Source organism: Homo sapiens, chromosome 1 (assembly GCF_000001405.40).
Source record: "Homo sapiens chromosome 1, GRCh38.p14 Primary Assembly".
Lineage (NCBI taxonomy): Eukaryota > Metazoa > Chordata > Mammalia > Primates > Hominidae > Homo > Homo sapiens.
The window spans coordinates 234,600,932-234,624,133 of NC_000001.11; the positions used below are offsets into that span (position 1 = coordinate 234,600,932).

The window sequence follows — 23,202 nt, forward strand, 5'->3', positions numbered from 1 at the left end:
TGCTTATTAGGAGAATAGTATTCCAAAACTTCTCTAATGACTGTGACCCTCCTGTGAAATTCTGATTTCAATTGTATATGGGGTACAATAAATCTTTATCTTTTATCACCAGAAAAGCTAATTGAACTGCTGTTTGCAGGCAGAAATAACAAAATGGGGGTAATGGGCTCTTAGCCTGGGCTAAGACTCTCAACAGCTTTTTTCTGTTTTGCAGCTCACACATACAGTCGGCTCAGGCAGACGGCCCAAGACAAGCCTGTGCCAAAGAAATGCTGATTTAGTCTGACCCAGACAATCTCTACTCCCACATGTCACTTCTCTGCAGAACTCTTACTAGTATGGCAAATACTTTAAAAATCATACAATAAAAGAAGGCAAAACCTCAGTAATTTGAGGTTCACTTTTAATAAACTCTTTCCATGCATTAAAATAAATTGAGGCCCTGAGCTCTGGCGAAATGTTTCCGGGTTTTTAATTCCCACCGCCCCCCCACCCCGGAGGCATAAATAGCCACATACGCAATTCAAAGTACTCTATTTGAACTAGTATAGGAAAGATGTTTTCTATAGATATTGCAGATAAATTTGCAATGACTTAAATATTTATCTGCTAAAGTTGCTGAGTGCCTCCACAACAAAACCGAACTCATTTTTTGTGCACGATGGGCATCTGAATGCTACCTGATGGTGATGATATAGAAATACTAATTGCTAAGTAAAAGTGGTAAGTGATGTGATCTACAGATTATGTAATGTAGTTCATTTCCCCCAAAATGTAAACTATATTTAGAAATATTCAAATGTGACATTATTACCCTATACAGGATGTCTTATCTCAGCATCAAGGGCGTCTGTAGAGCTGCTGGAGGAGGCTCTTTAGATTACGCAATCTAACTTCTGACAGCCCATTCAAAGGATGAGAACCGGTGCCTTGAAGCTCTCAATTTAAACTAGGAATCCTGTAGTCTAGTCTCTAGACTTATCTGACCTAGGCAGAAATCATCTCCTAGAGGCTTTTCATGGCTGATTTTGTGATGTTTTACTTGCACTGAAGATTTATTATTCCATGTTTTGAGTTAGTGTTATACAGTGCCATTCTATATATTTTCCAAATAAATGTTTGTCTTACAGAAGAAACTGTTTATACCATTCTAATAGGGTTGTTTAATAAGGAAATTTTACTCAGTTGGGTTTTGGATTAAAAATAAAAGAACAGCTTTTAAGATACAATGTCTAAATGATTCTCAATAATGATCTGTCTATGGTATAGTTACTTTTTGTCCTAAAATACCTTTTCTGTGGGTTGTATGGATTGTTTTATGTTGTGCCAGGCAGATGTGCATAATTTTCTGATTAAAACCAGTGCAAATACAGACTTCATATTCTATAATCTTTTAAAGAGACAAGTTACACTTCAAATCAAACAATCAGAGAGCTGTTTCAAATCAAGCATTTTAAGTTAAGTTGTATTGACATGGGGAGGGAGCAGATGACACACCTAATGAGTTAAAACAATGTTCACTGTTAAATTAGGTATAAATTAATGTAATAACTAGGGGTAGTGTGGGTATCCCTGACAAATTATGGATTTATCTGAGGATTAATGGAGGAATCCACAGATAATCCATAAATCTACCCATTTTCTATCTTCTAACCGCTTAGCGAGTAATTTATAAATTGTCTATTTGTGTGCTTTTTAAGTTACAGTGAGGGGTTCAGACATATTAAGGAAAATGCAGGCTGTCAAGAGAAACAGCAACAAGGGATCTATAGAGTTTGTAATCTGGAAAGTCACACCCGTAATTTTTATTTGATTGTAGTACCATTGCTGTCAGAGGCCTAACCAGTGGCACTGAAGGAGTTAAAACAGTCCCCACCCCCACTCCCGATTTCTAGAACCCCACGATAAATTGGGTAAATATGTATTCCATTCATTGGTGCATCTGACCTTGGTCTGTGACAGAGGAAAGGCGTGTCTTCTCATACTGTTCCCTATGAACAAAAGGCAAGCAAATGAGGGTGACTCAGGACTTCTCATGGCCTACACACAACTGAACATTTTTCTGAATGATTCCACGTATACACTTAGGAATCAGGAAGAGAAACATTTTACTCTTCACTAACCAAATAAAACCATCTATAAATCATATGCAAAACAACTTTTGAGTAAAGAGGGACTTAAAAGTCTAGGAATTAAAAAAGGATTTCCATAGTTTCCTTTTAACTCTCCCCCAACTCCCCTTTGGGGAATAAACAAAGACATCTGCCACATCAAGAGTCTGGTTTGTTTTCTTAACTGAAAACGAAATGCAGTCATTAAAGTATATCTTTGGGAAGAGGTTTTGAAATGTTGAGAATTACTTCTACAAGCTGCACTATTTTCAATTTCACTAAAAATAAAATTTAGCATTTTTGTTACAAAAACATAGTTCATCCTATTTCTTTTAACCTAGTTATTACATGAAAAATTGTTTATCATCTGTAACTTGCTAAGAATATGGTTTCTTGAAAACCTTAAATGGACTAATAATGAAAAACTATTAAAATATATATAGTGATGGGCCCCTCCTAGTTACCAGACCACCCTAGTGTAAATATATTCAAGTACACATTCACTGTTGCTGTTTAATTTAAAACATATAGTAACTCTATGTATATCCTAGCCTCCAACTCTTTATGAGTTTCACAACTTCCTTTCATAGAGAAGTCTGCCAAGCCATTAATCAATAAAAAGAGTAAAAGCTGCAACATCTAGGAAATTTCTTATTATATGAGAGTAGCCAGTAAAATGTGTCTCAGTGCTTTCTACCTTTTATCTCTATTTATAAATTTAAGTTTCAGGATATCAATAAAGCTCATACATGGCTTTGGCTTTTTTCATTCCTAAGCTTTCCAAAGTATAAGGCTTTTTTTTTTTTTAAATCCCTTTTGTCTTTAGCGCATTTCCTATGGCCCAACGTAGCTGTTTTATTCCAAAGCTTTTCAAAGAGCAGCTCCAGGTCTTGAGAGTCTTTCCAGTGTCGTCACTATCTTCTCTTTCCAATCTACCATTGCAGAATGGCTGGTTCTGCTGCTAGTTGAAAAATAAACAAATGCTTTCTAGCCGTACTTTGTTCAGCTCTTTTATCTGTGTCCCCTATCCAGTTGCCCTTTCCGCAGTCCCTGGCACTTCTATTTTATACCATCAGTTGCCTTTTTGTTCCATGTCTTTTATCTCCTGAAGTTCAGGCAAACCCCAACCCCAAACCCACACATCCTTTAGTCACATTGCCATTAGTGATTAAAACAATAGCCATTCTAAGCTTGCTTTAGAAAATTAAAAAAGGCCTCAGAAAATGTTCAGTGCTCCCAATTTTATTTTTATTTAATGCTAAAAGTTAAAGAAAAAAAGGTACTGTAAATCTGACAAATGACAGAATTCAGGTGATATTTCCATAGCGTGATTTTAAAATATAATAATGTTGGTATCTGAGATTACACTCACTTCAGTTGACATGAGTTTCATCATATATAGAAAAAGTATCACCTTCAACTTAAAAAAAGTAAAGGTTAAAAGGTGGCACACTTTTAAAATACTTGGTGGCCAAGGAAAGGTATATAGTAAAAGTTGTAAACCATGTGTATGTTCTCATAACTTTAAATGTGAGGCCACATGAAAGACAGTACATCTGTTAAATTCTATAAATTGTTAAAAGCAAAAAAGGGAAAGCTTCAACACCCCATCCCCTAATATTTTGAGTATTAAAAGCACAGCTGAAATATTAGGATTTGAAATCTGATACTGCCCATGTACAGTAAGTAGCTTTGTGACATTTTTATCCAGCTGTGGAGAATCTCTGCACTGTCATCAGGTACAACAAAAGATCAAACCCATGTCCCGATGTTAACTTTTTAACTTAAAAGAATGCCAGAAAACCCAGATCAACACTTTCCAGCTACGAGCCGTCCACAAAGGCCACCCAAAGGCCAGTCAGACTCGTGCAGATCTTATTTTTTAATAGTAGTAACCACAATACACAGCTCTTTAAAGCTGTTCATATTCTTCCCCCATTAAACACCAGTACAGAGAAACCACAGGTTGCCCTTTCCACAGCTGGATAGACTTATCCAAAACGGCAGGATGGTTCTGTATTAATCTTTTTGGAAAGCATGTCTGTATTAAGATTGCAAAACATACAGATAGCTACCACAAATTAGGTCAAACGACTGATCAAGTTGTAACATCTGTGAGGTCAAATTCCAAAGTGCCTAGATACACATTTATACAACAGACCATAAGAGCTGAATTCTTTACAAATGTCTTTATGGGCATGTAAAATTGACTCTGCATTTCTGCATGTGTGCATTCACATAAGAGAGACCAGTCTGCACTGAGTCATATATACTCCAACTTGAAAAAGTAAGTGTAACAACTGGTTAATCATGCAAGTCTGTTTGTAATATAACAATGACTGGTAAAACATGAATTCTCGCACAGTAGTAATAGGTGCACTCATTAAAAACACTACGGAAAAACACTGTATTTGGTGCAGTATCTGATTTTCAAGTGTTAGTAACTTGACCATTAAAAAATAGTTTTGAACAATTTAAAAAGGAAAGACAAACATATAACTAAAAAAGAATCCAAAGTTGGTAAAAATCTGTATTTTCAAATGTAAATAGAAGCTAGGCTGTGAACCATACACATAAATTGTAGACCTTGAAGCCATAATTCAGCCTAATTATAAGGCCAAGTTACAAACACCTGAACGTAAGGATTTAAAATAGTGTTCCTGTCAATGTTAAATCATAACAGCACAAAAGAAAAACCAGTATCACTGTGAGACAACTATTTCTAATAATTGATGATTTATTGGTTTTAAAAAAATCATTTTACTGATGCAAAATAGTGATCAAAAGAAATTAGTTTACAAAAAGACTTCTAAAAATATTTTGAGAGGTGGGGCCTGTCTATTATATAAAACCCTTAATTTCTTTAATTTCCACTAGTTTATCATTTTTTTCCAGAACAGTATTATTCACTTGGTATTTCAAACACATGTTAAGAAGGAAATTACAGGTTTCCTCCACCCACATTTGGGCTGTCACTGATATGCCCAAGGGCAGTCCTGGCAGCACCACGCGGCTGTTACTGTCATTGTACCATACTGTATTCAGCACTCACTAGAAACAGGGTATAGGTGATAGTATCAACAGCAATAGCACTACAGGTAAATGATAAACAAAACAAAACAGAAACAAAACCAATCCCACAATCTCCAAGTTCACCTGGACTGTAACTTCTCTTGCAACTCTTTCAAAATAAAGGACAACAGCAACAACAAACAGACCTCTAGGGTGTTTAAAAAGATGAAGTGGCGCTGCAGAGCTGGGCTCTGCTCAAAGATGGCAGTGCCATCTTGTACACACCACCATCCATTATAACCGCCTTCCATCACTGGAATTGTATCTTATGTAACCAACTAGCATGCAGCATTGTAATCTTACAACTGATCACGTGGACAGTGAACAGCGGTCAACTTTGTCTTAAAAAAAAAAAAACAAAAAACCCCAAAAGACCACACAATCCTGAAAATTTCCCAGCAGCACTCTCAGTCATCAGTATCTCAGGAACTGAACTTTTGAGCAAAATAGAGATTCAAAATCCACTTTCCTACTCCTCTGAGGACAATGTTTCAGGGTAAACTGGTGGTATTTCCCAGTGGCATGCCCACTTGACAACATGCCCGTTCGATCATTTCCTTTCCTTCTCCACCACTTGGCCTCCGGCCTGAGAAAGGGGCCAGCAATAAGGAATGACAGACAGTAAGGCAATCTTACAATGTCAGAAAATGTATTTGGCTTTTTTTTTCTTTTTAAAATAAGTGCATACAAATACAGCTAGAAGCATTTCTGATTTGCCAAGTGCTCTAAAAAAGCAGCGCAAGTCACAGCCTACATAGAACGGTAACTGTCACCAGGATAATAAAGCACAAAGATATGCTAATAACGTTAACAAAAGAAAAAAATGTCTTTATAAGTACATACCTTTTGTCGTCAAAAAAAATATAGAAACACAATGTATTCAAAAAAAATCAAAATTATACAGCCATGTTTATGAAGTCTACATTTCCCTTGTCTTGGATATATATATATATGGAGATATATATACAATTCAAGCAGTTTTAATTAAGGGTAATCATTGGGTTTTTCTGAAACCGGAAAAGTCACGAGTCTCTCTCTTTTTTCACTTTCACATCTCCAGCAAGGATGGTTGCAATTTCCCCTTGCATAAAGGCCCAGGGGACATTGGAGCCCACAAGAGGGCATTTTTCCCCACTGGGACAATAGACCTCTCCACTAGCTCCCTGCTGTTTGATGCTTTGTCTGGAGCAAGGGAAGCAGAACTTGTGCGAAGGGACGGACGGGCACTGCACAAAATGGGTGTCCTCCAGCCGCTCGTGGCAGAGGGTGCAGCACAGCGGGGCACTGGTTGCCAGAGAGGAGTCCGGGAGGCTGGCAGGGTGCACTGGCTCCAGTCCTCCTGTGTTGCCTGCTCCCTGGCCCCCCACCTCTCTGGGGCCCAGCCTTCTTTGGTTCATAGAGGACGGAGAGGGCGGACTGTTGCTATTCCTCCTGGTAGTGGAGTGAACCTGGTTGGCATCTTTTGAGGCATGACTGCCCCCTGCATTGTCTGCTACTAAGATCAGGGCTGCCATGGGGGACTGGCCATTCTGGGCCGCTTCAGGCGGTGTGGTCCGGTTGGAATGAGGTGAGGCAGTGGGTGGTGGCGGAGACACAAAAGAGGATGTAGGAGTCATGGGGATCTTGAGCCCCTCTGTGGATGTGGACAGCCACGGCTGGGCCTCTCCGTTGATCTTAGGGGGCCCGACTTCACCTTCTGGTTCTGGAGAGGGCTTCCTTTTCCTTGCTGTTCTTGCAACTGGAAACACAAAGAAATAAAAGGAAAAAGGTAACATAAGTGGCGGTGCACTGAAAGAGATCATTCTCTTCCTAACCCGAAACAAAAGTCGTTACAGAATTCCTCCTCTCTAAAAGCACAGACAGAAAATACTCATATACGAGTTTCAGGTGCACATGCAACTTAAAACCTTCAGGCGTACGGGATTCTGAGGCAGCAGACTGATTTAAAATGGAGCCACTGAAAATGACACGCTTGTAACTGCCTGTTTGTACACATGCACAAAAGTACCCTCGTTTGCACTCAACATGTGACTGCTAATGTCCCCCAATAGGTTAAAAGGTGACTGGTGCCCTCATGCTCCCATCCAAGAATGTGCTGGGAAAGGAAAACCCCGTGTCAGAGCGTATCAGCCCAGTCTGACTCATCTCTGTTATGCTGCTTCAGCACATGAACACGTTGCCACCAAGCACTGGTTCCGCCTCAGGCAGATCAGGAAGTGGGGTGTTTGTTGTTTCTGGGCTGGGGTAAAATGGTGAATCCAAAGAACCACCCTTCCTCTGCTCTCCGTCCCCTTTTCTCCCCTAGACCCCCTCACTTCACAGCCGCCCCTACCTGCTTTAGACCCGTTGGCCCCGTTGGCCTCGAAACCCAACAACCTGCCTGCAGTCAGGGCCGGCTCCTTCTTAAACTTGCTCTCGAAGGGCCCCGAGTGGCCGTGCTGGTGCAGCGCCAGCAGCGTGTCGCGCACGGTCTTGGGCCTGTTGACCCAGTCCTGCTCTCCAGACCCGCGGCTCTTGCCCGCACCTTCCGCGCTCAGCTCGGCGGCCCCGGCCGCGGTGGACAGGCTGTCGGCCGGGCCCCGGTGCGCAGGCGGCGGCGGTTGTTTCTCCTTGGCTGCCGCCTCACGCTGCTCGTGCTCCACGGCAGCGCTGCTCGACACGGATGCCGGCCGCTTGTGGGCGCCCAGATCGGTGGGCTGCGCGGAGCCCAGGCTGGCGGCCGCGGTTCCGGACACCGCGGCTAAGGAGGCGGCAGCGCGGCCGCCGAGGCCGAGCGCGGTGGGCAGCGGCGTGGCCGAGCCGTTCATGAGCGGCACCAGGGTGGGCGGCACCGCGTGGCCGCGCCGCGGGTTCGGGCTCTGGCGATTCAGCTCGGGCGGCTCCTCTAGCTTGGAGAAGCCGTTGGGCACCAGGATGCCGTTCACGGGCGGCGGCTGCGGCGTCGGCGGCTGGGCCAGGCTCGCTGCCGGGCGGCTGCTGCCGAAGTCAGAGCCGAGGCGCGGGGGCCTCTCGGCCGCGGCCGCCAACGGGTAGCGCTCCAAGGCCTGCGGCGCGCGCGGGGCCGCCTCGGGGCCGCCGTGGCCAAGCTGCTGCTGCTGCTGCAAAAGGATGTCCTTGGCGGAGAGCGGCGGCGGCTTGGCGGCGGCCGAGGCCGCGGCGCCGGGTGGGGAGCGACCCTCCGGGAAGCAGCCGTGCGCCCGCTTGAGCTGCCGCGCCGTCTCGATGACGAACTCGACGCGGTCGGCGCCCTCGTAGTTGACGCAGCCGCGGCAGACGGGTTCGGTGAAGTCCCAGATCATGGCCCAGGGCATGCGGGGCAGGTCACACAGGTAGCACGACTGCCGCCGGGACGCGGCCGCCACCGCCACCGCCGCGGCCATGTCCGAGGAGCCCGCGACGCCGGAGGAGGAGGCGGAGGAGGAGGAGGGGGCGCCGCCGCCGCCCCCCACCGGCACCACGCGCGCCCTCCTCCCCCCCCAACCCCGCGTCTCCCCCACCAGCGGCGGCGGCGGCCGCAAAGGCGGCGGCGGCGGCGGCAAAGCCCGCGAAGGCTCGGCGCCCGCGCAGCGCCCCCGGTGCACGAGGGGCGGCGGGCGCGAGGTGAGGGGCTGCAGCCGCGGCAGCAGTTCCCCCCGGCCGGCCCGGGCACGGGCGGGCGGCGCGGCGCGGCGGGGCGGCGGGCGCGGCGGTGGGGGCTCGGCCGGAGCCGCGGCGGGCCTCCAGACCGGGGCGAAGACGGGCCGCGCGGGCGCGGGGGAGCGCAGCAGGTCGCGGCGGCGGCCGGCACGGAGTGCGGGGCGGGGGGCGGGGAGGCCGGGGGGGCAGGGGGCGGGGGGCGGCCGCCGGGGCAGGCTCAGCCCGAGCGGCGGGGCATGCCGCGCCGGGGTGGCGGCGGCCGGGCGGCGTGGAGCTCGGGCGCGGCGCGGGCCCCGGGTCGCTCCGCCGCTCTCTCACAGCTCCTGGCGTCGCCGCTCTCCAGCGCCAGCGTCAGCGGCCAGCCCGCCTCAGCTCCGCCGCCGCCACCGTCGCTGCTGCTGCTGCCGCCGCGACCGCTCCACTTCTACAGACTTGATTCTTCGACAGTCTCGCACGGCGCCTGCGCGGGCCCCCTCCCCTCGTGCGCGTGCCCGCCCTCCCGCGCGCGCGCTCCCCCTCCCCCCGCGCGCCGAAGGAGCGCTGCCGGGAGAGCCGGCTACGCGGCGCCCGCCCGCCCGCGGGGCAGCGCAGCAGCGCAGCGCCGGTGTTCCCTTCGGAACACCGCGCAAAGTGATCGAGTGCTTTTCCTCCACTTTCCCTCACTTCGCGCCCCACCCGGCTGTCCCGACCACCCTCAGGATGTTTTCCTCTGGTGTGCCTCTGGGCCAAATCGTGCTAAAAATCATTTTTTTTCTTTTATGCAAGGACACTTTGTCACTTGGTTTCCGTCAGTCTCCTGAGAATGGGGAATTTAGGTCTAGCGTGGTTCACAGTTCTGGTTTTTTAGGAGTTATACTTGAAAGCTCAATGTCGGACACATAGCATGAAATCCGTCACTGGTGCTTTGCATTTGTCTTGGAAAGGACATACGCCCCGCCTGTCCCTTTTACTAACTAGGGAGACTGTGAATATTCCCAAGCCCAGCACCACGTGCACACGCCGCCAGCTGGCTCGCGCGTTTTCCACGGAGCCCTCTGGAGGGGAGGGAGCGCGGTTCGGACTAGCCTCTCCCGAACACCAAGTGCCGCTCTTAGCCCCGTCCAGCCCGCCCTGTTCATCGGGGGCCTCGCCGCGCCAGTCGCCCCGGCTGCCTTATGTAGGTATGCGCGGCGGGCGCGTGACGTGGGCGCGGGGCCGTGGGCGGCCGCCGCCGCGAGTGCGCACGCTCCGCGCAGACGTGCCTCGGCGCCGCTGGCACTAGGGCCTCGTGGAACGAATGCACATTCCAGGGATCCGGGGTCTACGGCCAGCGCGGCCGCGTCACAGCGCAGGCTCCACCCCCTTCGGCGAGTCTGGGCGTCGAGGCGCCGCCCCCGGGCCCGAACTTGGACTCGAGGTGGCGGGAGGCGAGGGCGCGAGTGGGGGGGGGGGGGGTCCTGCTCGCCTCCGCGAGGTTCCCGAGGGCCGTGGGGGCGACCGGCTGGCTGGCTGGCCCGCCGTCCCGCAGGGCGGGCCGCCGACGGAGGCGGACTTTTGCCCTATATGCCACCCAGGCCGGGATGAGCCCGGCCTGCAGGTCTGCCACCGTTGGCAGCCTCAGACTCAGCCCAGACTGAATTGAATGTTTGAGTTTCGCACTTTTATCGGGAGGAGGAGCTAGTGTGTGTTATGGTAAATCACTTTGGGCTGGTCGTTAGTCTCCCTAATACACGTAGGCTTAGTCGCTCTTCAATTGGGACTTTTACACTTAAGCTCTTTAAGGGCGGCCTCTGGAGCTGCTTTTGTTGGGAACACAGGCCCACAACTCTCCCTTGAGACTGGAATGAGCTGGTTAAGTGTGGGAAGAACAGGGTACTAATTATATTATCTTTCCTACAACTGGATTGGTAGGTGGAGAGAAAAAAAAAATCATGCTGACGTTTCTCTCTAGTCGTTGCTATTGAAAATACCAGGTTGCTTCAAAGGATTAACCACAAGGAAGAGGAAAAACACCCTTAGAGAAACAGTGGAGGGAGCTGCTTAAAACACATGAAAAAACCTGTTCGAAAATGGCACAGAAAACGTAATGTCAGACCTAAATGTTTTTACAGGCTAACCTTGAATGTCTTTTGGGGATTTCCATAGAAGGTGCGCCTGTTTTAAAGGTCTCTGCATCTGTTCCTGGATCTTGCCCTGCAATTGCAATCCTGCCTCACCCTCTCCAAGCTGGGAGAATGGGGCCTGTCCAGATCCTTCCCGGGAGTAGCTGGTGCCAGCGGGTTTGGTCACTCCCAGGCCCTGCTGTTGCACACCGCTTTCAAGACCTGTCCCTTTGGTCACCCTCCTCAGAGACCCTGTGACACTCATTCCAGTACATGCCTTCACCCACTGCGTCACTGCCCAAAGGGGATGAAGTCCAGTCCTTGTGCTGCAGAGAAATGAACCAACTCATCGCCCCCAAGAGACGGCCCCACTAAGCATTGACTGAAACATACTAAAAGAAAACACAACTCACCATTAGAGTTGTGGCCTAATTATACTCATTTCTCTGCAAGCTGGTACTGTAATGGCCTCAAGGGGAGAGCCTGCCACTCCATCCTAAAATAGAATTAGAGATAGAAATTCTGCCACGATACTAAGATCTTTGCAAAACGGAGCTTTTCTTCTCCAAAGGAAGAGCATTTCCTTCTTATTTTACACTGCCAGTTTCATGTCGAAACTGAGTTGTTGTAACTTCCCTAATGAAATGCCCGATGGAAAATGGAAGGGCTATTTTAGTTCTGGGCTCGATCCGGAATCAAGGGGGTTAAGGCTGGATTCAGGGCAGCAATTCCTTATATTGTATCAGAAGTCTTTCATGCAGCCTGGCCTTTCATGTAGCTCTGAAGCAGCTTTATCGATGTATGCTAAGTAAACATAGCTTTGTTTTTGTCTTCCACCCACCGCTCCCTCCCGGCACAGACTGGAGTTGGATCCCATCCAAAGCGGCTGCTGCAGCAGTTACAGCCGCCTCCTCCACACACAGGAGCAGGGTTTCTAGGGTGAGGCAATGCGTCTGCAATTCGCAGAGACAAGGCAGGAATTGTAATTGTAGTTCATCATGTGATGACTTATGAAAGAGGAAGTTGGTATGTTTTAGTCACGTAGACTCTGCCCTCTTGCTTGAGGCACCAGGTCCTCTCAAAAGAGAATTATGATCATCTTTGCCACCCAGAGTCAAGGTTACCGGGTTGGCTGCAGTGTGCTCCTGCACATTCATATACGGACAGGCAGGCAGATGCTGGGCCAAGTGTCGGCGACGCAGCGGGATGAGGCTGGCTTTTCACCAGAACACTAAAATGTTGCAATTTGTCTTAAGGACTAAAGGAAATATTCTATGGAGAACACTCCTGCTGAGACTAGACAAACCAACAGTCCTTTCCAGCTCTAATTTCTGAGAGTTGTTTTTTTTTTTAAATAAAAATCACAGTGTAGGAGTAAAAGGAAAGCCATTCAGTATGACACTATCAGAAAAGCAGGAATAAGGAAGTGGCTTGGAAGGCAAACCTAAGAGAGCAGTTGTAAGCGATAGCTCAATGGGTAGAACTAATGTGACCTTCCGACACTGAGATTGAAACGGGCTTCTACTGCGTGAACGTTAAACATCTAAAATCTGAATCTGGTTTCCAGAGCTTACTCCAGTCAAGCAGCTATTAACACACGGAAGCCCTGAACTGACAGTCTATAGAGCAGTGTAAAGAAACGGTTCCTACAAGAGTACCTTATTGGAACTTTGCCCCCAGGTTATGCAGCTGCAAGAGGGGTGCAACCCCATTCCCCCAGCAGCTTGTGGGTGCTGTCCAGGAGATAGATGGTATTCCTAGGAACTGCTGAGTTCGTGGCTTTCACCCTCTATCCAGAGGTGGAATCACAGCCTTCATTCTTTAGAGTGCAGTTTCCTTAAATAGCATGATGTTGCAACCATGCTAAAGCTTCTTAAACTCTGATCTTGGCGTATTTGAAGAAGAGAAAAAATGCAGCCACATTTCATCTGGATTTCTGTGGACATCATTGCGGGTTTCTTCAGCTTTGGCAAAAGTGTCGTAAGGTTTGAAGAGCACACGTGATATTCAGGGCTTTTCCAATTTTTTAAATAAGTTATATATATTTGAACACATTTGTTTATATGAATATATCTACACATACTATGGAGCACCATGACATAAATGAACCTTCTGTAATTGATATGAGAGTCTTCCTTCTTAGTAACAGCATTTTATGAGACAATCTTACTGTTTTTCAAATTGCAAATATTCTTTTTTAGAAATACTTTCCCTCTGTTTGACCTCTCTCTATAGCCTACCTCCCCTGTGCACAGAGCATACAGATATTAAAGAGACTTTTGCATGTGGAGGAGATAAACTCTCTGTGGAGGGTCTAAGAATCAAGCCAGATAAAATCACAGGAGCTCTTAATCATCCACATATTGTACACAGAAGCTGTTAGTCGGCAGCCTATATGTCAACGTATGTATAGGTCCCTATTTAGAGCAAAATTTGGGATCTTGATGAAGGTTAAATACTCACTGTGTCAGAATTTAAAGAGCTAAGTGAGAAACAGACAAAATAGACAAAGGAGAGATTGAGGTCACACACTTGCTCAGTCTGCAAGGAAATTTGTAGAACTGGAAGGGATTCAACAGCCATTTGATGCCAGTAAACCTCCTATTGACTTTTTGGAAAAAGCAGGATGAAATGCACTTTTCTGGAATATCTGGATGTGGGTTTAACTTAGAATATTTAAAACACTCACTGAAGCCCTTTGAAAGATATCAGTAGGAAGATGTTGACAAAATAATGAATTAACTTCACAGATAATGTTTGAAAATATAAAAATGGTAAATTTTCCCTTCTTAGCTTTTCTATTAAAAAATGTACATTTCCTACATACACATTCCATAGCATAAGAACTGAAAAAGTCAAATAATGTAATAATTCTAAAACGTTAAAGAACAGTACGATGGCATGGTATTTGCTGTATCTTTCACATGAACATTTTAAAAAGATATTTCAAGGATAAATTCTATTCTCTTGTCATCCTTTTCAGAAACTAAAAACCTGACTTACCTAAAGTAACATGAAAAGTGAGTGTCAGAGGCCAGACGCGGTGGCTCACGCCTGTAATCCCAGCACTTTGGGAGGCCACAGTGGGTGGATCAGGAGGTCAGGAGTTCGAGACCAGCCTGGCCAGCATGGTGAAACCCCATCTCTACTAAAAATACAAAAATTAGCCGGACGTGGTGGCATGTGTCTGTAATCCCAGCTACTTAGGAGGCTGAGGCAGGAGAATTGCTTGAACCCGGGAGGCGGAGGTTGCAGTGAGCCAAGATTGTGTCACTGCACTCCAGCCTCGGCGACAGAGCAAGACTCCATCTCAAAAAAAAAAAAAAAAGTGTCAGAACTGATATCTAGGTGTGAGTCCTGTTGCCTGAGGATGTAGTCGAGAATATTCTATTTGCATTTTGCATTGTTAAAAATCATGTAAGCACAGCATAGAGCCCAGCAAAGGAGTGTTAACATCTGAGTGTTAACAGGAAAGGTGTTAAGATTTGCTATCTATACCTATATTTATAGGAAAAAGGAAAATTTTAATATAGTTCATAGAACAATCAATCCAAAGAGAAGTAAACATTCACCACAGACAAAAGGAGCTGACAGAGGTAGGGCACAGTTGCTATAACACCATGTCGAGTGTGGGACTCTTTAAATGGCACACCATTTTTATGCTAGTCTTTATGAACCTTGGATAAAAACTGATGTTGGTGTTAGGATAAAAGATTCAATTGTGGGAGTCAGTTGGGTGATGAAATGGTTTTGGCACTTACCAGGTTGGAATACTGCACCTCCAACTCTTTGTGATCTATTTTCTTAAAAAGAGGAAAAACTCATGAAATAATTTAATTCCAATTGTAGGAGTCCAATCCTGACTACTTTGCACTCAGACAAATAAATACAATGGGCTACAGGGTACCGAAAAGAAAAAAGTGTGAAACAACATTGTATAGAATATCACAGTTGCAAGGGTACAAGTTGTTCATAAAGTATGCCAATGAACTTTCATTGTTATTATTATTATTATTTGAAACAGAGTCTTTCTCTGTCGCCCAGGCTGGAGTGCAGTGGTGCGATCTCAGCTCACTGCAACCTCCACCTCCCGGGTTCAAGCGACTCTCCTGCCTCAGCTTCCTGAGTAGCTGGGACAACAGGCACATGCCACCACACCCGGCTAATTTTTATATTTTTTAGTAGAGACTGGGTTTTGCCATGTTGACCAGGCTGGTCTCAAACTCCTGACCTTGGATGATCCTCCCACCTCGGCTTCCCAAAGTGCTGGGATTACAGGCGTGAGCCACTGCACCCGGCCATGTTTTGTATTTCTTATGAAATAGAAATTAGCCAATATGAATTAGGCTTTCTCTTGACAAGATGAAAATATATTTTGCAAAACAATGCCATTCAGCAGGATAATTTGGCCTTACCAATGGAGTTTCACTAATCTATTCTGGTGACTGACTTACTTTAGTCTAATGGGCTCAGCAAAAAATAAAGTAAGCTTGTTATTTGAAACAATTATTGTATGTATATACTGCAGATTCCAATGATATCTCTCAGAGGTCTACACATTTAACAATAAAATTCTTTCTCCAACACCTGTTTTTTGGCATGGGAGGAGTAGTGGTCATTTTTGTAGGTAAAGGAGACACAGAGAGCTCCCTACACAAGGAAGGAAAGTTGAGCAGACTGACTGAGGACTGTACTTTATTAGTTGGAGTGAATTCCGGTATGCATTGGCACATCCATTTCTGTGCCCACATGGTAATGCCTCTTTGTGAGGCAGAGTGCAAAACCACTGGGAAAATTAAGAATCACACTCAGAACTGAAGTTCATACAGGGGAGAAGGAAACAGACATGCAGTAGGCAGCCTAGATGTGAGCCCTAGCAAGAGACTACTGATGGATTCCCCAAAGTGACTGCCTAAATGTAGTGTGTTTACTACAAAGCTTGTCACAGACAGCTAAAATGCAAATACAAATGAACTTTGATGTACTTCGTGGCAAGACTCCCAGCCCTTCGAGCAAATTCCTGAGTGAGGAAGCTGGTTCTGAAACATGCCTGGGAACTGCACACATGTGAACTTCCTGAGGCCTCTTCTCTTTAGCACTTAACAGGTAGCTGGATTTTAAACATTTGTCAGGCTGCTTTTATTCTGTCTACCTACCTCTCAATTATCTACCTATCTACCTATCCATCTATCTATCTTTGCATTATCAGACCAATTCATTATTCTTAACAATAGTTAAGAACATCAGTGTCTGTTCACTTTATGAACTGAGACACCAAGATAATAAGGAATCTGTCTTAAAACAAAGAAAATGTGTGGTTAAACGACAGTTAGAATTCAGGTTTCCCAAACTGCAGTTCTTTCTTTAGCCCACTGGTGGGCTACCTCCTATTTATATTTTCTTCATAGGTTCTTTTTTGCATACATGTAAATATCTATGCAGGAGATCACTGAGGGACCGTAGCTTCTCTTCATTCACCTGGCATGTGACCTGAGGCAGGTCAGCTGGACACCCTAGGCCAGTTTTTCTTGAGTGGAGGAGACGGTGCTGGCCTTGATGTCATTTCTGTTCTGACCTCTCGTGGTGGGTGGGGGTGATGGGAATACACAGGAATTTGACAAACCCAAGCCCAACATTCTTCTGACCCACATGGGATTACAAAACAATGCGGAAAAACTACCAGTAAATGCCTGCCCATTATTTGGGGGCATTGTGCCATCCAAATAAAGTCAGGAGGTTAAATGGCTACCAGAGCATCACATCATCGAGAACATCGTGTCTGCTTGGTTTGGGCTCAATCCCAGATTAGGAGACTCTAAACCACGGTCTATACTTAGTTTAAATTAGCCAGGGCAAAACATCTGTATCAGCATTAATATAAGCCCAACTTCAATGTCTCAGGGCTTATGGAAAATATTTGCATTTTTCTTTCCTCAAGAGACTGCCTTATTTCATATATGTATGTGTGTGTATGTGTGTTTATATATAATTTTATATGTATATGTGTGTATGTATATATACACGTATATGTGTAAATATACGTATATATACACGTATACACATACATATACGTGTATACGTGTATATATACATATATACATATATGCATACATATATATATACGGGCAAAGACTTAATATACTATCCACAGGCTATTCAGATTGTTCAAGAGGCTCTCAGTTGAAGAAGCAAACAGACAAACAAAACGGTTTCATACACAGGCAGGCATTTGGCTGAGTAGGTCGGCAGGATATGGAAACTTGCTTTGAGGTGTTTTTGGATTCTCACCTAGAATTCTACTACTTAATGGCTGTGTGGCTTCTTTGCAGGCTATATACTGAATTCATAAAGGATGTTATGAGAGTAAATTCAAAGAATTCTGATGTTTTGAAATTTGTTGTGACTTGGTTAACTATGGTGAAATGTTACATTCGTGTTACATTATGGCTTTTGTTTATACGGGTCTGATTATGGGATAACTTAATAAAGTTGTAAAAAACTCTATGTTTTTCAAAAATTCTGTGTTTTTCTTATGTGAAGAATTTGTTTCAACTATTCTTCAAACACCAGAAAAGGAGTCACCGTATACTTTACTTTTCATATAAAGATTACTCAATATATTTTAAAATGGGTGTTCCAGAATTAGACTTCCAGATTCCTTGAATTGAGAGTGTGGAAAAGGATAGGCAGCTCCTGTAATAGGAGACATTCTTTTAAAAGCCTGGAATGCTGAAACCCTCTTAGACTGAAAACATGTCAGGACATGCCTTTTTGGGATACTGTCAAACGGTTTAGGCTCAGAATTCCACATTCCGTACTTTTGAAGTTGTTTTCTGTTGGCAAATGACCTCTTGATTATTTTCATGTGGTGAGTATTCAGGCCAACCTTTTTGGTTCCAAGTGATTTAAAAACACACACACACACACACACATAAAAACAAACCACTCTGAAGTGTCCATATTTTAGCATAAAGTTAGGAATTATGCGAGTGCTGGGTGTATCACGGTCAATTCTGTGAGCCTCGTCACAGTTTATAGCCGAAGTCAGAGGCTTCAAAATCAGACACACATTGACCTGGAATGCTTTATTCTGCAGTGCTCATTCTTGATTCTCAGAAGTATCGCTCCTGTGAAAAACTTATCACCATTAGGGAGCTGTCATTTCCCTGGTAAAATTAAACAGCAATTTCATTCACCTTTGCTTCTTTTTGGATGAAGGCTGGCAATGGTTTAAGGAACAAATAAATGAATGAATAAATGAGTGGAGTTCCCTCCTCCTGACTCAGAAAGGTGCTATTTCCCCTCACGCAGGAGATACAACTTCCATGCAAGCCAGTTCTCCTACTACATAGAGCCCTTCTGTTTTTAGGAAGTTCTGATTCATGGATTGGAGAATTGAACTAAATTAGTATACTGTACAGCATGGGCCTGGTTAAATTAAACATAAATGCTCTGCCCCCTGCCACCCACCTCACTGTGACCACGGAGAGTTCATTTAACAGGCGCCACTGTCTGTGAGACCCAAACAAAGGTAGCTGACTTCAAACCCTGTCTACATTTGCCTTATTATAGACCATGTGTTAGTAGATGTTGTAATATTTTTTATGAACCAGTAGGATTCTCAGAATGCTTCAAAACAGGCATGATATTGGGTGATGATTTTATTTTAAGTCTCATCTCGATTTAATTTTGTGAGAATTTTTTAAAATTGTCTGTTTTATTGAGAAATTGCTCAGAGATCATATACAATGAGAAACTCGGCTAGAAGAAGATAAACAAAACAAGTATAACAGAGACAACGTTCTTTTAAAACATTTCATTTTGCAGACCAATAATAAAACTTGTAAATCTTTTAAAAATACTTTTCTTATGGTGTATAAATTCTGATATTTTACTTGAAGCTAATAAAGCCACCATAGAGAAGAAAGTTAATTTTTTCTTCTTTAAGCTTTCCATAGGTAGTATAATTTAAATAATTCTGTGGTACAGTTTCAACACCTCAGATTGAGCACTTTTGTTTACGAAGTAAGAACAGTAATCCTCATGTAAAAAGGTGGTATTGCTACCCTAGACAGCAGATGGTGTTATTAAATACACAGGCAAAGTCTAAGGTCATAAGGAACTAACAATTAACCAGAAATACGATCTGTCACAGTCGTTTAATGGGTAACCTAACAGATATATACCGCTTGTATTCTTCTGAGTGGTGGGAGGTAAATAGTCAAGCTTCAGAGCAGTTGCACAATCGTTTAGAAATATTGTAATTATATTCTTATTTAAGCATTTAGGGAAACCAACAAGCGAGAAAGAAAGTGAAAATCAGTGTGATTTCCTCATAATACTGTGTCCTGTTAATCTGCTTTGAAAAATACTTTACAAATTCAGACAGCACAATTTCATAGCTATCCCTGAATCTAACTCGTCTCCCCAAACTAGGAATGTCAAAATTTTGAATTTTTTACTGCCAGTCTCAGTTGTTCTAAGATCTCTTTACATTATCATAGGTATAATTTTTGCCCCTGAAGTTTTCGTCGTGTGAAGGTAAAAAATTGGAGCATACACAACAGCAAATGGAAGCAGGGTGGCAGGAGACAGCTGGGAAACTGTAGTGGGGAGGAGAGGCAGTCAGCTGGTGGGGTGGACCGTAGGAAGAGAATGGTCTCACCAGTAAGGAATGGGTGGCACTATTAAAATCTGGATGTGGGCTCAATTTCTATTGTAAATCAAATATAAATCTATCACTAAAATAGGAGCTGGATACACAGTGCCCAAGTCCTCGTGAGAGTTTCCCAAGAAGGGTTTACCATGGAGAATGTGTCATCAGTTCCTTTTCAGTTAGGGCTTTTGAGGATGAGGAACTGAATCCTAAATTCACCCAAAGGAAAAATGGCCAACAGGGCAGCAACTAAGCCTGGATCACAAAGAACAAACTGCTTGGTTAGAATTTGGAAGAGTGGCTGGGTGCAGTAGTAATATAATCCCAGCACTCTGGGAGGCTGAGGCGGGAGGATCACTGGAGGCCAGGAGTTTGAGACTGGCCTGGGCAACATAGCAAGACCCCCATCTCTACAAAAAAAATACAAAAATCAAGGCCAGGTAGAGTGGCTTACACCTGCAATCCCAGGACTTTGGGAGGCTGGGGTCTCTACCAAAAAATTAAAAATTAGCCAGGTGTGGTGGTAGTGCATACCTGTAGTCCCAGCTACTAAGCAGGCTGAGGCAGGTGGATTGCTTGAGCCCAGGAGGTTGATGCTACAGTGATCCATGAACCATGATCACGCCACTGCACTCCAGCCTGGGGAACAAAGCGAGACCCAGTCTCTAAAAAAAAAAAAAAAAAAAAAAAAAAAGTTTGGAAGAGTGAACCTTGTCCCATAGGCAAATAACTACGAAGCATACCCAAGAGTCATGACTCTAGCCATTGTGTCAACCAATTGTAAAAACAGCATCTGGAAAAGCAAAAACATCCTCAGTGCCCCAGGTGAATAGAAGATGAACAATGAAAAGCAAGGTTCAGAGGTCACTGGCTGATCAGGCTAAAAAAGTGGGTAGATTCCAATCTTCGGACAAAAACTATTCTTAAAAGACAAAAAGTTATTCAGTTTCCTTGCTGTTGGATTTGGTGAGGATGTCTGAGTCCCAGAAAATGCATACTAATAAGGACTTTTTTCTTATACAGTTTCATGCATTTATATATGTTTATTTAAATTTCTCTAAATTTAATTTGAATAAGGCAGGCAACAGCATCTCAGGGCACAGACTCATAACTGGAGACCTTCATCCACAAGCTTAGCTAGCTAGATTTTCCGTGTGGCCAGGACGCCTGCTGAAACTTCCAGCAGTCCTCAGAAAAACTGATGAGATACCCTTGGGCTGAATGAGTAAGAACTTTCTGGAGAGTGGAAGACTGGTGAAAGTCCAGCTGGAAAAACATATGGCAGCAGAGGCGGAAAGAGTGCTTTATGACCGGGAGCTTTATAAAAAAAATGTCTGAAGGCTCAAGGCAGCCGTTACAACCTAAGATCCTACTAAGCATGATGGATGTTTTTACTTCTAGGATTGTCTCCAATTTACCTGGACCACAGCCAGCACCGTATCCTCAGGCACCCCATGGGACAGTACATACAGAAGAACAGCATCACACCACATCCTATCACCAAGGCCAGGATTCTGTGCCTCTGCCCCCCTCCCCACCTCCTTGAAACGGGGGAAGTAGGGGGAAGAGTCAATTCTTCTTGGAGCACATGAGATGGTAGCTTGCTGTGTTGTCCTGAAAGAAAACAAAGTTTGTAAATCACTGTAGATAGTTTTTTTTTTTTTTTTGTAATAGATATGTCGGGAGGGAAAATGACTATGGTAAATTCCATTCTCAACCACACATTAACTCAGAGAATTCTTGAGCTACACAGTGACAGACTGAGCTCAAGGAGAAAGACAGGCATTCTGAGTTTCAGACTACGGAGCCATTTGGAGGTGACATGTACAGAACAATGCACAGCTTTGAGATTTTATATTGGTCCTTCCCTGCCCAATGTCATTTCCAAACTAATAGAAAGGAATATTTTATTTTTTCATGTTAACTCTTCATTATAATCATCTCTTACTGCAATGACCATTTGTATCTGTTACTGAGAACAGGTATAACTAGCTTTAAGAACATTCTACATGGAATGATATATTCCTTAGAAAGAAATCAATTAAGAGGTGATTATTCACAATTACAAAAGGACCCTTTATAAAGTCTGTAATTTACCACAGGTTTAAAGAAAAGTACAGTTGACCTTTGAACAACACAGGTTTGAATGGCACAGGTACATGCATTGATTTTCTCTTGCTTCTGCCACCCCTAAGACAAAGAGACCAACCCCTGCTCTTCCTCCTCCTCCTCAGCCTACTTCACTTAAAGACAAAGAGAATGAAGACCTTTATGATGACCCACTTCCACTTAATCAATAGCAAATATATTTTCTCTTCTTTTTTTTTTTTTTGAGACAGTCTGGCTCTGTTGCCCAGGATGGCACAATCTCAGCTCACTGCAACCTCCACCTCCTGGGTTCAAGCAATTCTCCTGCCTCAGCCTCCCGAGTAGCTGGGATTATAGGCGCCCGCCAACATGCCCGGCTAATTTTTGTATTTTTAGTAGAGACTGGGTTTCACCATGTTGGCCAGGCTGGTCTCGAACTCCTGACCTCAAGTGATCTGCCCGCCTGAGCCTCCCAAAATGCTGGGACTACAGGTCTGAGCCACTGTGCCCAGCCCCTCTTCTTTACAATTTTCTTAATAACATTTTCTTTTCTCTAGCTTCCTTTTTCTGTAAGAATACATTATATAATAAGACACATACAAAATCTGCATTCATGGACTGTTTATGTTATTTGTAAGACTTCTAGTCAACAGGTAGGCTATTAGTAGTTAAGTTTTTGGAGAGTCAAAGTTAAACTCAGATTTTTGAATTCGCAGGGGTTGGCACCCTGACTTCCATGTTGTTCAAGGTCAAATGTACTTAAATAGTATTAGATTTTTTAAATGTAATCAACATAGACTTGTTAAAGCTCCGCACAAGTTGCTTTGGAGAGGCAAGCATGTGGACCTCTTTTCATGGATGCCTCAGCGGTGGCATCTGTAATGTAGCCATTGCAGACACCACTGTTTTTCTTCAACAGACAATACTGTCTCCCTTTCGGCTTCTCTGATGGATGTTTCACCACTATTTTACTTAAGCTGTGTTGACAGTAGAAGCAGCAATTACTGTAGTCACAAAAATCAGGGCCTACCTTTATTACCCGATCATTATGACAATTATCCCCACCCCCCGTTTTCTCTTTGTCCGTGCACACACATTTCCAAGGCATGTATTTTCATTACCAGACAGAGAAGGGCCTACAGGTCAATTGCACACACTCCGTACTGATAAAGTAATGTCATTAACTTTTGATTTTTTAAAAAAAGCAAATGACAGTCCTCTATTCCTGGATTGTGTTTTTCGTCTTAGGTACTCAAGTAAAAACCAAGATGGTGTCTCTCTCTCTCTCTCTCTCTCTCTCATATATATATATGCACACACACACACACACACACACACACACACACACATATTTAATTTTAATAATGTCAGGCAGTATGTGTTTTGTTTGGAATGCACTTTGCACCCATGAGCAAAAGCCAGCACTGTGAATCTAAAACTACCTGGGCCTAATGAGGAAAGGCTTTGAAACCTGGGCATTTTCTAAATGTTCAGGGAGAGAAAACAAAGTCACCTCTTCTTAACAAAAACTTTTCTCTTTAGGGGGCTCCAGGGCTGT

The 23,202-nt window shown here is 44.4% G+C and overlaps 1 protein-coding gene across 2 annotated transcripts, besides 13 other annotated features; it reads right to left on the reverse strand.

Annotated features, from left to right (window-relative positions):
• Positions 1,856-2,025: a silencer, noted in NCBI's record as "silent region_1975". NCBI's record gives its function as "represses an Ori minimal core promoter by ATAC-STARR-seq in GM12878 lymphoblastoid cells {active_cell/tissue: GM12878}" and the evidence as "EXISTENCE:reporter gene assay evidence [ECO:0000049][PMID:35858748]".
• Positions 3,338-9,247, reverse strand: IRF2BP2 (interferon regulatory factor 2 binding protein 2). 2 transcript variants are annotated; one of them, NM_182972.3, is made up of 2 exons: positions 7,516-9,247; positions 3,338-6,921 (listed from the first exon to the last, which is right to left on the reverse strand). In NM_182972.3, exons 1-2 carry the CDS (start codon positions 8,561-8,563, stop codon positions 6,206-6,208), a joined length of 1,764 nt encoding a protein of 587 aa, NP_892017.2. In that variant the 5' UTR covers positions 8,564-9,247; the 3' UTR covers positions 3,338-6,205. The 2 variants fall into 2 exon arrangements, with proteins under 2 accessions (NP_892017.2, NP_001070865.1); NM_001077397.1 differs by having other exon boundaries at positions 7,564-8,594.
• Positions 7,432-7,611: an enhancer, noted in NCBI's record as "active region_2760". NCBI's record gives its function as "activates an Ori minimal core promoter by ATAC-STARR-seq in GM12878 lymphoblastoid cells {active_cell/tissue: GM12878}" and the evidence as "EXISTENCE:reporter gene assay evidence [ECO:0000049][PMID:35858748]".
• Positions 7,852-7,971: a silencer, noted in NCBI's record as "silent region_1976". NCBI's record gives its function as "represses an Ori minimal core promoter by ATAC-STARR-seq in GM12878 lymphoblastoid cells {active_cell/tissue: GM12878}" and the evidence as "EXISTENCE:reporter gene assay evidence [ECO:0000049][PMID:35858748]".
• Positions 8,062-8,341: a silencer, noted in NCBI's record as "silent region_1977". NCBI's record gives its function as "represses an Ori minimal core promoter by ATAC-STARR-seq in GM12878 lymphoblastoid cells {active_cell/tissue: GM12878}" and the evidence as "EXISTENCE:reporter gene assay evidence [ECO:0000049][PMID:35858748]".
• Positions 8,582-8,661: a silencer, noted in NCBI's record as "silent region_1978". NCBI's record gives its function as "represses an Ori minimal core promoter by ATAC-STARR-seq in GM12878 lymphoblastoid cells {active_cell/tissue: GM12878}" and the evidence as "EXISTENCE:reporter gene assay evidence [ECO:0000049][PMID:35858748]".
• Positions 8,722-9,419: an enhancer, noted in NCBI's record as "NANOG-H3K27ac-H3K4me1 hESC enhancer chr1:234745399-234746096 (GRCh37/hg19 assembly coordinates)". NCBI's record gives its function as "activates a minimal SCP1, AML or CMV promoter by ChIP-STARR-seq in primed H9 embryonic stem cells {active_cell/tissue: H9 hESC(primed)}" and the evidence as "EXISTENCE:reporter gene assay evidence [ECO:0000049][PMID:30033119]".
• Positions 9,042-9,141: a silencer, noted in NCBI's record as "silent region_1979". NCBI's record gives its function as "represses an Ori minimal core promoter by ATAC-STARR-seq in GM12878 lymphoblastoid cells {active_cell/tissue: GM12878}" and the evidence as "EXISTENCE:reporter gene assay evidence [ECO:0000049][PMID:35858748]".
• Positions 9,202-9,391: a silencer, noted in NCBI's record as "silent region_1980". NCBI's record gives its function as "represses an Ori minimal core promoter by ATAC-STARR-seq in GM12878 lymphoblastoid cells {active_cell/tissue: GM12878}" and the evidence as "EXISTENCE:reporter gene assay evidence [ECO:0000049][PMID:35858748]".
• Positions 9,522-9,621: an enhancer, noted in NCBI's record as "active region_2761". NCBI's record gives its function as "activates an Ori minimal core promoter by ATAC-STARR-seq in GM12878 lymphoblastoid cells {active_cell/tissue: GM12878}" and the evidence as "EXISTENCE:reporter gene assay evidence [ECO:0000049][PMID:35858748]".
• Positions 9,872-10,471: a silencer, noted in NCBI's record as "silent region_1981". NCBI's record gives its function as "represses an Ori minimal core promoter by ATAC-STARR-seq in GM12878 lymphoblastoid cells {active_cell/tissue: GM12878}" and the evidence as "EXISTENCE:reporter gene assay evidence [ECO:0000049][PMID:35858748]".
• Positions 11,772-11,831: an enhancer, noted in NCBI's record as "active region_2762". NCBI's record gives its function as "activates an Ori minimal core promoter by ATAC-STARR-seq in GM12878 lymphoblastoid cells {active_cell/tissue: GM12878}" and the evidence as "EXISTENCE:reporter gene assay evidence [ECO:0000049][PMID:35858748]".
• Positions 12,112-12,161: an enhancer, noted in NCBI's record as "active region_2763". NCBI's record gives its function as "activates an Ori minimal core promoter by ATAC-STARR-seq in GM12878 lymphoblastoid cells {active_cell/tissue: GM12878}" and the evidence as "EXISTENCE:reporter gene assay evidence [ECO:0000049][PMID:35858748]".
• Positions 15,752-16,252: an enhancer, noted in NCBI's record as "H3K27ac hESC enhancer chr1:234752429-234752929 (GRCh37/hg19 assembly coordinates)". NCBI's record gives its function as "activates a minimal SCP1, AML or CMV promoter by ChIP-STARR-seq in naive H9 embryonic stem cells {active_cell/tissue: H9 hESC(naive)}" and the evidence as "EXISTENCE:reporter gene assay evidence [ECO:0000049][PMID:30033119]".

Bases quoted from the DNA above. Each gene is read 5' to 3' on its own strand.
- IRF2BP2 (NM_182972.3), bottom strand. From the start codon at position 8,563: ATGGCCGCGGCGGTGGCGGTGGCGGCCGCGTCCCGGCGGCAGTCGTGC. The intron at 6,922-7,515 runs GTAGGGGCGGCT...TTGTGTTTCCAG, and splicing joins GGCCAACGGGTCTAAAGCAG to TTGCAAGAACAGCAAGGAAA.